At 39.8% G+C, this 14,521-nt stretch overlaps 1 protein-coding gene across 37 annotated transcripts in view, besides 1 other annotated feature; it reads right to left on the bottom strand.

Annotated features, from left to right (window-relative positions):
- Positions 1–14,521, bottom strand: part of CNTN4 (contactin 4) — a 959,094-nt gene that overhangs the window by 275,978 nt on the left and 668,595 nt on the right. The gene's annotated exons all lie outside the window — the stretch shown is intronic.
- Positions 10,981–11,504: an enhancer, noted in NCBI's record as "NANOG hESC enhancer chr3:2812162-2812685 (GRCh37/hg19 assembly coordinates)". NCBI's record gives its function as "activates a minimal SCP1, AML or CMV promoter by ChIP-STARR-seq in primed H9 embryonic stem cells {active_cell/tissue: H9 hESC(primed)}" and the evidence as "EXISTENCE:reporter gene assay evidence [ECO:0000049][PMID:30033119]".

Below are 14,521 nucleotides of genomic sequence, written 5' to 3'. Positions count from 1 at the left end.
GGAGGCCGAGGCGGGGGGATCACGAGGTCAGGAGATCGAGACCATCCTGGCTAACACGGTGAAGCCCCGTCTCTACTAAAAATACAAAAAATTAGCCGGGCGTGGTGCGGGCGCCTGCAGTCCCAGCTACTCGGGAGGCTGAGGCAGGAGAATGGCGGGAACCCGGGAGGCGGAGGTTGCAGTGAGCAGAGATCGCGCTACTGCCCTCCAGCCTGGGCGACAGAGCGACACTCCGTCTCAAAAAAAAAAAAAAAAAAAAAAAAAATTTACCCAAAGCCTGGAAGCACCCCCCACCTTTGAGCTGTCCTGCCTTTCTGGAGGAATACAATGTATTTCTTAAATGTATTTGATTGATGTCTCATGTCTCCCTAAAATGTATAAAAGCAAGCTGCACCCCGACCACTTGGGCACATGTTCTCAGGACCTCCTGAGGGCTGTGTCACAGGCCATAGTCACCTATATGTGGCTCAGAATATATCTCCTCAAGTATTTCAATTAATATATTAACATTCAAATAATATCTCTTCAAAGAGTTTGACTCTTCGTTGACATTGCTCACTCACGCATATATCCTTAGCATACAGCTTAGATCTCATTCACAGCATAGTATTATGCTTGCTCTTTTTCCCATTTTTTAAAAACTTTGCAAAGCATTTTACATTTGATTTGTTAATGATGATAAACCTGCAAGATGGCCAACTATTTTCTCCATAGTTTCAAAAGGAGGAATGAAGAATATAGATGAATAAAGACTATAAATGGTATTTATTGAATTCAGTGAGTTTGAGCTTTCTGGAATTAAGATGAAAAGCATCTTTATTCCTCGTTTAGGTGGATACACTGTTTCAACTGGTCTTAGGGCATGTTTGTTGGTTTCTTTCCTTTTCATTTGAACCTCACCACTCCATGTATATTTCTTTTTATTTTTCCCATTTCTACTGCTTTGAGATTTTTGGCAGGACCATAGTTGATTTGCCTCCTGCTTTCCTAGAGTTCCCAGAACAGTCTCATGTGCTCAAGTGGTATTTAAATGTAGAACAAAATATTCTACTTAACTTGGGTTTGGAATTGTGAGAGATATTTACAATCAGCAACGAATTCACAATATCTAAAACGTATAATGCAGGGATGCTAAAGATAATTTAATTCTCTATGACCAACAGCATCACAACTTTACCTCTCAGGAAATGAAAATGTATTATTATAGATATTAAAGTGGCATTTTTTCATCCATACGGGCGTGGAATTTTAAGGGCATGCGTATGTACTGGGGAATAGCAAGGACTACAAACCCACTTGCCCTTAAGGGTCAGAAACAAAAGTTAGATGAGTGAGGTAGGCTAGCGTGATTGCATATTACATGTAAGATCAAAGTAGTAGAAGAACAAATCCATGTGGAGGAACTCAATGGCAGACATGGTTGCCAGAAATTCCATGTCTTTAAGAGAAGCTTAAAATCCAGATTATTTTCTGGAGAAACTACTTAAAAAATATATAGTCTTTTATTCTTATGTGGAAGCCAAAGAGAAAATGCATAAAAGAGAACATGCCTCTATATTGAGAGTTGGAAGATCCAGAGCCTTTTAGAGATTTTAAACATGTTTTTAGGGGAACAGGGCTGAGAGGGCAAGGAATCCATTCCACAGAGGCCAACAGGCACACATGATCTCCTATACTGTAAAGGTCCATGCAGTCAAACACTAAATGTCTCGTACCAGAAAAGGCATTAGTAATAAAAACTGTGGTGCTTACTACAGCTAAATTGGAAATACTTTATATCATTCTGTTTCAACATTTGGCCCTCACAATGTAGATTTGCAGGACAACTAGTTTTATCTTATTCTTATATGTAACATCTGTTGGGTCAGAGTACACATCAGATATACACACTAACTTTTTCTCTTTGATCACATGTTGCCCATTACAGCTGTGGGATTAAGACCTCCCCACTACTTTTATCCTTTTATCAGTGAGTACTTAAAATGATAATGGTCAGTTAGTTCTTCAAATAAATGAATAAATTAACAAATTTCTTATGTCACTATCTGACGTTGGTATGAATTCTTGAGAGTCAATAGTGTACTAATTTGAAATAACGTATTGCTACTCTACTCTATTAGCCAATTATCTTTATGAAGGCTTTTAAGGATATCCTAAGAATTTTCCCCCTCATTTTAGGACTTAACAATCATACAAATCACCACCACCACTTATTGTATGGCTTCTAGATACTTCAAATACATTATCCTGTTTATTGCCCATGTGATGTCACAAGGTATGTATTAATATCTTCATTTTAATATTCAGAAGGGAACACTAAGCTTTTGAGGAAATTAAATGACTTACACAAAGTTCATCACATCTAGTAAGTGATAGAGCTACCATTCAAACTCTTATTAGTCTCACTCCAAAGTTTCTACTCTTCAACCTCTCTTTCCATCCAACATAATAACTAAAAAATAAAATAAAATTGATTTCTAAGTAATAACCAACTGTGGCTCATGCCTGTAATCCCAGCACTTTGGGAGGCCAAGGCAGGAAGATTGCTTGAGCCCAGGAATTCAAGACCAGCCTGGGCAACATGGTGAAACCCAGCCTCTACAAAAATAAAAAAATTAGCTAGGTGTCATGGTGTGCACCTGAGCCGAGATCGCACCATTGCACTCAAGCCTGGGCGACAGAGTGACCCTGTCACAAACGAACCAACAAAAACAAACAAACAAACAAACAAACAAAACAAACAACACCACAACCTGAAAAGGAAGCCATTAAATATTGGTCTAAGATTCAAGCCATTTCAACATCGTGATGTTATTAAAATCATTGCTCTAACTACCCTCCCCCCACCAGATAAAAATCATAAAAACGTGGCTTGCTTCCTGAAAATGCTTTCATTGTCAGCTATATATAAAACAATTACTTTGTTGATCATTTCATCATCTGAAGGAAATAAATGCTACTATGGGGCATTAAGAGGCTAACACAGTAAAGAGTCTGAGCTGCAATTATAATTTGTTTCTTAGCAACTAATAGCAAAAGTTATAAAGTTGGTTCTAAAACTGTAAGAGACAGCATTACAGCCCTGGGAATATTGTGACAGTCCTTAACAGTATAATCTTGTGAGTAATTTGCTTTTGATATTATCATAAGATAAATTATTTTGGATCTGCTTGGTGAAAGCCCTAAAGAATTCTCATTAAAAGTCAGCTATTATTATGTGTGTTGTTTTCTTCCCCTCTCTCCCCCATTATGCTGAACCCACTGAATTGGTTATTTCATGCATTATAATAAGTTGGATGGAATCAGTATGATAAGAACAGATTCCTTTAATAACTAGGAGAAAGGAGTTCATCACTATAATAGTTCCATTTCCTGTCTGAAACAGCACTTACTGAATGTAGTCATGGTTAGAGTAAATTAAAATTTTTATAATGAATATGAGTGAGAGCAATAGGAATTTTAAAGAGTTCTATATGCTGTAAACAGAGAAAAACAGTAGTGAAATTTGAGTGGCTTTGGGTCTTAGAGCTTAGGTGATTTTCTGGTGAGAACTTGCTTTTAAAAAATCATGAGTGGCTCATGTTTTGAGAACATAATTTAATTTTTTGGCCTACAGGAATACTATTCTGTAATTTACCTCAAGATCTTTAAAACAATTGTATCATGGTTTTCTCTTATACATACATGGATAACACAAAATATTTCTGGGACAGTTATTTCTTTATTTTATTTATTTATTTATTTATTTATTTATTTATTTATTTATTTGAGACGGAGTCTCGCTCTGTCGCCCAGGCTGGAGTGCAGTGGCGCGATCTCGGCTCACCACAAGCTCCGCTTCCTGGGTTCCCGCCATTCTCCTGCCTCAGCCTCCTGAGTAGCTGGGACTACAGGCGCCCGCCACCACGCCCGGCTAATTTTTTGTATTTTTAGTAGAGACGGGGTTTCACCGTGTTAGCCAGGATGGCCTCGATCTCCTGACCTCATGATCCGCCCACCTCGGCCTCCCAAAGTGCTGGCATTACAGGCATGAGCCACCGCACCCAGCAGTTATTTCTTAAAATTTAGGAAGGTACTGTCTACTGAGAAACAAAACTATTGGATTATAATACAAAGACATAGTAATAGGTTAAGTCAATAAAAGAGAAATATATCTTTTAAAAACTTTCACAGAGAAAAGGATACAATTATTTGGTTATGCATGTTTGGAGAAATATGCTGGCCATATTGGAAAGAATTTGTGTCCTAGGTAAAAGGACATACATTAGAACTGGCCACTTGAGGGTATCTTGCGTGAGATACCTCCCAAATAAACCAAGAATTCATGACTCCATTTTTCTTGTTACATGCTGTGTGGCAGAACAGCAAAGCCTACTCTCCTGGCTACTTTTAAGGTGACTCAGTTTATAGTAACTGGAGGATCTGGTGCCTTGATTGGTCTTTTGTCCTTTGCTGCTACCAGAGAGGGTAAGGTCACTTGACCTGATGTTGGATGGGTAATCCATGCCAGGTACATTAGCTAAAGCAAATCTTTATTCAGTCGAAAACATAAGAGCAAATATATTCCCTGATAGAGCCTACAAACACACTCTTAGAAGTATTAGTTGGAGAGCCGTAGATGGGTAAGAGTAACTCTCATTGTTTTCCATCTTTCTTTACTAAATTTAGTGGGGGAAGCATAATTAACCTGAGATAGATATGGAATATTGAGTAGTCTTATAGTTTCCCTCATGTTAGGGGTATTAATCATGGGTTATACTAATTTCTGTTTAAATACCATAAAACACAAATGTGATTTTCCTGAAAGCACAAAGGATCCTTAAATTCAAAGATGTTAGCTGGGCGTGGTGGTGGGCGCCTAGAATCCCTGCTGCTTGGGAGGCTAAGGCAGGAGAATTGCCTGAACCTGGGAGGCAGAGGTTGCAGTGAACCAAGATTGAGCCACTGCGCTCCAGCCTGGGCAATAAAGTGAGAGTCTGTCTTAAAAACAAAACAAAACAAAACAAAACAAAAAGATGCATGGTGTCTCTCCTGGAATACAAATTAGGGATTTTCAATGTATTTTATATGCATACCCACCCTCACACAGAGTCTCTGCATCGTATACCTAAGATACATAAGATGTTTGAATGAAGGGGGTATGTCTGTTTCCATTTAGCCCACATTTGTAACTGAGGACTTTGTACTCTACGGGCTCAGCAAAAACTTATTACATAAAATTTAGTGCAGTTAAATTTAATCAAGAGGAACCTATAGGTAATCAACAAATATTTATTGATCATTGACTTAATAACAAGCTCTGTGCTGGGACCCAGGGAACCAAAGAGGAGGAAGACACAGTCCCTTTCCTCAAGAAGTTTACAGTCTACCAATTCTACCAAGAGTAGAGGGCATGTCACACAAATTCACGTGTAAAAGAAAATGGATAGTCTATCTATTAGGCCCTGAGGAATGTTGACTTTGGAGATCAAGTCACAGAGCTTGACCTCTTAATTACTGACTTTCTGTTATAGATTAATTTCCTACCTTATTTCCTTATTCCTGGCTCAGAGGAGATGGCCCTGAGATAGAGGACCCCTTGACTGAGACAACAGACCCTTTGACTATTACATCCTTCATGTGGAATATTAAATATACCTAAATATTCTTTCCAAAAAGAAAAAAAAAAGAAACACTTATATTCTTTCCAAAAAAAAAAAAAAAAAAAGAAACACTTATAACCAATCAAATTGCTGTTAACTATTCACCAATCCTGTATGGAAAATGATGTAATCCTGCTCATCTTCCCCAGACCTTGCCAATATAAGAGGGGCCCTCAAATCTCCCCACTTTGGAGCCATGACTCCACTCTTTTAGAGTCTGTGTCCTTCTGGGTGGCCATCCTCAAACTTTGTGTTCAAATAAGTTCAATAATCATTTCACTTGAATCCGGTTATTAAGGTTGACACATGCAATAAATATGCTATGACATAAGTATGTATAAAATGCAAAGCGCAAAGGAAGAAGGGGTCAGTTCGGGCTGAAGAGCAATACTTCAATCAACAAATATATGTTAACTGCATATATGGGTCAGGTCCAATGCTAGGTGTTGGTATTATAGCACCGAATATATTATAAAAGGTTCCCGCCCTCATGGAGCTCATATTGTAGTGAAGAAGACAGACAATAGCTTAGTAAAAAAGACAAAAAATAGATAATCAAAGAGTGATAATAACTGCTCTGTTGCAAAGTTTTAAAACATTATATTACAGAAATTAAATGGGCTGGGTGTGGTGGCTCACATCTGTCATCTCAGCAGTTTGGGAGGCTAAGGCAGGCAGATCACTTGAGGCCAGCAATTCAAGACCAGCCTGGCCAACATGGTAAAATCCCATCTCTATTAAAAACACAAAAAATTAGCTGGCTGTGGTGGTGCGCACTTGTACTCCCAGCTACTCTGGAGGCTGAGGCATGAGAATCACTTGAACTTGGGAGGCAGAGGTTGCAGTGGGCCGAGATCGTGCCACTGCACTCCAGAGTGAGACTCTGTCTCAAAGAAAAATAATAAGAATAATAAAATCAAATAAAGAGAGATTAAATGATGGGCAACAACTTCCTAGAGGGTGGTCAGACATGGTATGTTTCCATAGGAACTCTATGTACAGAGGAGTTTTGCATGGGGAAGAGGGCCATGGTGGGAGAACACGGGAGGAGAAGAGATGAGGCTTGAAAACAGATTCATAAGAATGAACTGGCTGGAAATAAAAACACTAAGCAGTATTTGAATTCTGAAATAAGCCAATGCAATTCCCTAAAAGAGTCCATGTGAACATTTAATTGTTACAGTCACTGTACAAAGCATATGGATCAGATCATACAAGATTAATGCCTTTAAGATGCAAAAGCAAACCATCACTTATGTCTGCTGGAAAGTCATGACTGTCCCACAGAGCATATGATGAATAAAGAGCACCAGCAGGCTGCTGGGTGAACGTTATAAGCACAACTAGCCTTTTGCGAAGCTGAAATCGCTGTCCGTGCTTCCAAAGAAGAGGACTGTTCAGGCTATGGTTGAAAGGGAATTGACATAAGAATCCTGGAAATCTTGCAAGTACAACAGGCTATTTTGTAAACAGCCTCAATGTGCATCTGCTTTATGTTGTTGATGGTTAATACAAATAAGAAAACAGTATTAAATAAACATCTTGAAACCAAATGATGTTGTCTCGTGGGATACAGTTACACAATGGTTCCAAAACTGCTGTAACAGTCATCCTCCTGCAGTCTTTCCAAATGAAAACAAAGAGACACTCACTAGCCTGAAGGAGTGTTATTCTATTTGCTGTCCCATCCTGCTAGGTCTAGTATGCAGTTCCAAAGTTCAGCTATTCTTGAAGGTTTTCCAAAACTGAAAATACATAAGCTATCAATTGTTTTCTAAAGTTCACAGGAGCTAATGGAGTGAAGAGCAACCATTATTTTTCAGTCAATTATTTGTAGAGGAAATGGGTCCCTCCTTCATTTTGATGCACACAAGGAAAGAAAAGTGTTTGGTTACTTTGAAAGTAGAGGAGATAAGTGAGATACCATAACATAAAAGTGACGTGGAAGAGAGAAGGAACAATGGCGGTAGGAAAGGTAGGTTGATCAGAAGGCAAGAAGATTGGCAGATGAAATGGAGATTGGGGTGGGGGTAATGCAGCTGACATATCTTTTCTTTTTTTTGTTTTTGTTTTTGTTTTGAGATGGAGTCTCGCTCTGTCACTCAGGCTGGGGTGCAGTGGTGCAATCTTGGCTCACTGCAACCTCCACCTCCCAGGTTCAAGCTATCCTCTTGCCTCAGCCTCCCGGGTAACTGGGACTACAGGTGTGAGCCACTGCACCCGGCCTGATCTATCTTTTCTGGACTAATATTTGTCTTGGTCAAAAGTCTACTAAATCGAGGCTGGGCATGGTGGCTTATGCCTGTAATGCCAGCACTTTGGGAGGTTGAGGCAAGTGGATCACTTGAGGTCCAAAGTTCGAGACCAGCCTGGCCAACAGGGTGAAATCCTGTCTGTACTAAAAATATAAAACTTAGCCAGATGTGGTGGCGGGTGCCTATAATTCCAGTTACTTGGGAGACTGAGGCAGGTGAATTGCTTGAACCTGGGAGGCGGAGTTTACAGTGAGCCAGATCATGCCACTGTACTCCAGCCTGGGAGACAGAGGGAGACTCCGTCTCAAAAAAAAAAAAAAAAGTCTACTACATTGAGATGAAGGCTTCATTATTACTCAGTGCCAGAGTTTGGTAACCCCCTAAGCCTGTAATGCCCACAGGGTGTTTAGAAAAGGTGACATAGTTGCCATCCATAGACAAGGAAATCTGTCTACAGTAAGGAATTTCGGCCTTACTGCACAAATTCAGGAGCAGGAACCCAACCGAACACCTAGTCTCATCTTCCTCTAGAATCCTACATGCATTACTTTTCTGAGGTCTTCCTCCAGTTGCCAAGTGTTCTCCATGCTGCAATCAGTGTGTTATGGAAAGTACCCCGTAAGAATGTTGGATTCCCTTCCCTACCCACTACTTATCAGAGCAAAATGTAAAACAAAACTTAAATAAGTTAATATATCATTGAATAAAACTTGTACAAACTTTATATCTAACAAGTCAGTACTACTACCAACTTATTAATAAACCTTGTGTCTTTAAACTTTCTCTTTCAGCCTATTAAAATATACAAAAATTTTGTCAACCTGAAAAAATATATAAAGCAACACTTCTTTGACTCTACACTCCCTTCAGCTGTGCACTTCTCTTTCTCTTTCCTTCTTCAGGTATACCCTTGCTTTCTCTACTTCTTGACTTCCCATTTACTCTGCAACCCCCCCCACCAAAAGATTAACTAAAGCTTATTACTCTACAACCCCACTATCTGGATACTGGCCTCAGATCTCCCATGAAACCGCTCTGGCAAAAGTCAATTCCATGTTGCCAGATCCAGTGGGCATTTTTCAATCCTTATCTTATCTGATTTCTCTGTTGTACTGGACATTTTCAACTGCTTCCTGAAAATATCTGCTCTCTATCCTCTCCTGATTCCTATCTCTTCTCTTCCTCCCTCTTAGTCTCTTTTGAGGGCTCTTTCAACTTCACCTACCCTTCAAACACTAGTTTTCACCAAGGTGCCTTTGCTTTTCTCTCTTTTTTGGATGATCTTATACATTCTCATGATTTAAAATCTAATCTTTATGTTCATGTCTATTTACTGTAAACCTTCAGCCCTATCGATGTAGTATTTCTCATATATTCAACTGCTGAGTATCCTACAGATAAGGTGACTTTACATTCTAGTTTTCCTGAAATAATTGAGGTTTACATTTATTGTCCTGGCAAAATTATTGACAGTGGCACTTTTCACACTCATAAGAATCCAGGTTTGTGTGATAAATCACACAACTTGGTATGTCTTAAAGTAAATTTGCCACCTCTTAATCTCCAACCCTAACCTGATTCCAAAGTTAGTCAATGATACCCCACCATCCAAGACATTAGACTTTAAAGTCATTCTATGATCTTTTTTTTCTTTCTTTCTGTACTCTTTACTCTCAGTCTCCGTCCCTACCTTCACCCAAACCATCCAACGAACCTTGACGATTTCACCACAAAAGTATTTTTCAAATATGCCTCCTCTACTTTCACTGCCTTTGTCTTAGGATAGACTCTTATTATTTCTTGCCTGCGATATTGGAAAGCCTTCCTGTTTTTCCAGATGCTGGTATCCTAGTGCCTTAAATGCCCATTCCAAAATGAAGCCACAGTAATCAAGTTCTAAAATGCAAACCTGGTTATACCACTCTGCTGGCTTAAAACCCTTTGAGATCGTCAGCCACCAAAAGATTAGCTAAAGCTCATTACCATGTCAAACAAGGTCCTCCATCATCTCCCCGCCTTAGCTCTCTCTCTCTCCCCTTGTAGCCTCCCACTCTCCAGTTCATATTTGACAACCTTGAAACATGGAATGTTTCCATGTCCCGTGCATATCCATGAAGATTCAGGCTTTGCTGTTCTTGTCGCATGAAACACCCTGCCAGCTCTCTTGGCCTCTTTAACTATCAACCATCTGTCAAGACTCTGCTCAGTCACTGTCTCTCTTGGGGAGCCTACTGTGTACCCCAGGACGGATTACATATTGCTTCTCCATGTTTTCATTACATACTGTGCACACTGCTGTCTTTTCATTTACCACATAATATCCTGGAATTAATACTGTATGTCTTTCTCTTCCACTAAAGTACAAGATCTTCCTTATTTATTTTTACTCCTTTCAGATTTTTTTCTTTAGATCTTTTTCTATTATCTTCTTTCAATAAAGCATGCCTTATTTTATATAAGACATTTACATAATTGGAAGAAAATATGTCAACATACTTTGTCTCAATTGGTCCTTAAAATGGCCATTGATACTCACATCATCCCCATTATACAGAGAATGAAACTGAGACTCAGAGAGGTAGAATGATTTGCCAGAGGTCACATATTGGAGTGATATGTGTGAGAGAGAAGAGGTAGCCATGTAAATAGTGTGGGTAATTCTGCCCACCATGTGGCTTGCTTGATCAGTTTCCAACACTGCATTAGAGATGAGGGACCCAAATCTCTTTTATTTTTCAGTTTCAATTTTCACTGGCTTCACATAGAGAGAGTACCTTCCCATGTTGTAGAGTATTTAAAGATACCCACTTCTCATGCAATGTGGCTCTAAACTTAAGTTAATTCTTCACCTGCTTTTCAACCAAAGAAACAATTACTTGTCTGTTCCATCCTCGGGGGAGAGGTGGCATGCCTATCTCCCATGGGTATGTATACTTCCAACTTAAGAGAATTCTGAGGGTAACTTTAATGACAGTCATTTTGCTTTAAGTGCTGACTTTGGAAACAAATCTCTGTGAAGATGCATGAGGCTCCATGTTGCTCTTTCCATTTCAGACCACTCAGGGATGCTAGACACTACCAGTGAAGGGGAAACAGTATTTTTCAAGCACATATGCACCCCTCTCTGAATTTTTAATAGAAAAGCAAACCAAAAAATGAGGAAAACACAGTAAAACACATTGTTACTATCACCTGGATATGCATTGTGTGTGTTTCTGGGAGTTATCTGCCATGCTTGGTAGCAGAGCCCCTGAGCTATGCCTCAAATGGTAACTGGTCTCACACTGAGCATCTCACCATACACTAAGCATTGCCTGTCAACTCTTGCTATTCCCACTGCGTCAGCTTTTCAAACAGCAGTTCTTAGCCACATGACACTTAGATTTACATTCCTTTGCTCAGCCTGGTCCACTGATTATCTCTAGCCCTGGATAGTTTCTGTTTGTTTACTTTCCTTAATCCTTACGGGTCAGTGCAGTGATGCATGTGTAGAAGCCAGGCAAGAAAGATCTGTAGAAAAAGAGACACTATTTTGCAGAGATCTGAAGCTTTTATGATACCTTTTCTTTGGTAGAGCCAGACTGATGAGGGATTTTATAACAATGCACTTCCTCTCTTGGGATGAAGGAAGCTGAGGGCCCTTGGCCCTCCCCCACCAGGGAAGGTTTGTGTGTGCAAAAGGCAATACTGCCTTATAGCAAATGGTTTTAAATCTCTAACATTTTCCTCCAAAGCTAAATAGAAAGAGATGGAAGAGGGCCGGAAACGGTGGCTCACGCCTGTAATCCCAGCACTTTGGGAGGCTGAGGCAGGCGGATCACGAGGTCAGGAGTTCAAGACCAGCTTGGCCAACATAGTGAAACCCCGTCTCTACTAAAAATACAAACGTTAGCCGGGCATGATGACGCGTGCCTGTAGTCCCAGCTACTCGGGAGGCTGAGGCAGTAGAATTGCTTGAACCAGGGAGTTGGAGGTTGCAGTGAGCTGAGATCACGCCATTGCACTCCAGCTTGGGCAAGAGAGTGACACTTCGTCTCAAAAAAAAAAAACAAACAAACAAACAAACAAAAAGAGACAGAGAGAGATGGAAGAGAAGTCACTCCTTGTTCTTCAGCAACAGGACATAACTAATCTAACCATGAAACTAGCACAGGTGCCAAGGCCCAAGAGATGGCCTCTAGGGAATGCCATAAGAGGCTGGCATTGATTCCTGAAGATAGTTAGCCTGTCTTGCTGCTATTTTTGATCTGCTTGTTGTAGACCCTTGGCTCCGCTGATGATTTCTAAGGGCCTGTGCTGCAGGCAAGAAGCATTTTTACTTGCCACCCATTCTATCATCTGTATGTTGTTTTTTAAAATCCTGGTTTACAGAGTGTTGGATTTAATGGAGCAATAGAATTTTAAGGGGAAATATGAGATGTGTGTGAAACCAACATAGGTGTTTCTAACTATGGATACTAAAAGTTACCACCAGTACCACCACAATTTTCTACCATCATCAATACATAAAAGACAGAACTTTTCAACGTGAAAAATTACAGAAAGATAGTATCAACAGAAAAACTGTCCTTTAATTGACTAAACACTGCCTTTTGTTTTGTTTCTGTTTTTTTTTTTTTTGAGACAGAGTCTCACTCTGTTGCCCAGGCTGGAGTGCAGTGGCACAATCTCGGCTCATGGCAACCTCTGCCTCCCGGGTTCAAGTGATTCTTCTGCCTCAGCCACCAGGATAGCTAGGACTACAGGTGTGCGCCACCACGCCCGACTAATTGTTTTTGTATTTTTAGTAGAGATGGGGTTTCACCATATTGGCCAGGCTGGTCTTGAACTCCTGACCTCATGATCTGCCCGCCTCGGCCTCCCAAAGTGCTGGGATTACACGTGTGAGCCACCGTGCCTGGCCACCTTATTTTAATAATGTAGTGCATATTTGCGTAGACTGGTGGAAATTTCAGTATAGGTAAGTTTTGGGAACCAGCATTTGAAGGTGTGCTCCCAAAATATCTTTTTCACAAAATAAGACAAATGTCAGATACCTACTAGTAAGGATGTGTTTCTTTGGCTTCAGGGTGGACCCCATTTTAAATGAAGATATGGTACAATGAAAAGACTTCAAGACTTGAAGTCAAAAGTCTGGGTTTTGATCCTCGGATCTGTCCCTTAATGGGATCACGAACTTGAGGAAGTCACTTCCTATTTCTGAGCTTCACATTCTACATGTGTAAGATGGGGATGGTGATGATGATAAATCATACCTCACAGGCCTTTGTAAAGACTAAAAGATAAAACAGATTTGAAAGTACTTTCTAAAAAGGAAAACGATATAGACAACTTAACTATTAGTTATTTTTTTCAAGGCATAAAGTGCTGGCTTGGATTATTAAGGAGAAAGTGAAGCAGTAGACACAGAGGACCAACCCACTTTCTGTGGACACGGTGACAATTTCCTGAGGAAATGTTCCTGCCTCAGCCTAAGTGCCATTATAAAGTAGATAGGGGAAGTCATCAGGACTGCTGTGGAGGTGGCTGGAGAATGAGCTCCCATTGGTCCACCATGTTTAAATCACAAGCTCTCTACAGCAAGCTGAACAAGACTGTGCTACAAATCTAGTAAATACTTCACCAATTTCCTTGTTTCTACCAATACAATTTCAGCTGAAAGACAATTTGTAGTTAACAAATTTAATATTGAGCCAATTAGTCAGATTACCTACCTGCTAACTGTAGCCACATTGATTTTTGTTGAAATATTAATTATCCAAGATAAGATTTCCTGCTTAACCTTCAAAACAAGCTTAAAATGCACTATTTCACATCATTACCAAGGTTAAGAGGAAGATGCTTGTGATGTGATTACAATTTATATTACCGGATTCGCCATTCATTTCAGAAGCATCGAGGCCACCTGGTCAAATGAAGGATACATTTGTGATGTTTAATTTCCAGCAGGAAATGGCAATGACACTCAAAGCAATAAATATGAAGGCTCCACAGATGTAAAACATTTGTTCATCTCTAACTGCCACTCTGACCATTTTACCTACATTTCTGTAATTTAAAAGCCTCAACCAAATGTAACATTTATATGCAAATGTTTTCTAGCCTCACCATTTGGTTGGCAAACAGCAGATGACCTTACACGCCCACTGCTATGTGACAATATTTTAAATTCTGCCTTCTAACCACTTAAAGGAAAAAAACACAAAAATACTGAGAAGGTGAGCTATGTAAGAAGCTTTTATTGAACACCAGCTGCCTGTGAGCACTGTACTAGGTGCTGGGTTGTCAGGTTAGCCACAGTTGTTGCCACTGATGAACTTCCATTAGAGACTTTGCTTCTTATTATCGTAAGACGTGATCATAGAGAAAATCTGAGACAGAAAGGGGATCAGAATTCACTGTTTGGGATTAGTTTGGTACGCTCAAGTAGAACATTTTTCTAATCGGCTGTGCATTTTCCACCATGAGGTATTCCATGGACTCACTGTTATCTCTATTGTCTGTCAATGGGGCAACTAACTGAAAATTTAAAAAACAAAAACAAAAACAAAAACAAAAAAGCCCACTCACTCAGTAAAGGTAATAAAGAGCACTTATATAAACTTCCTTTTTCAGGATACACTA

This window comes from Homo sapiens, chromosome 3, assembly GCF_000001405.40.
Source record: "Homo sapiens chromosome 3, GRCh38.p14 Primary Assembly".
NCBI lineage: Eukaryota > Metazoa > Chordata > Mammalia > Primates > Hominidae > Homo > Homo sapiens.
This window is presented reverse-complemented; position numbering and strand designations above follow the sequence as displayed.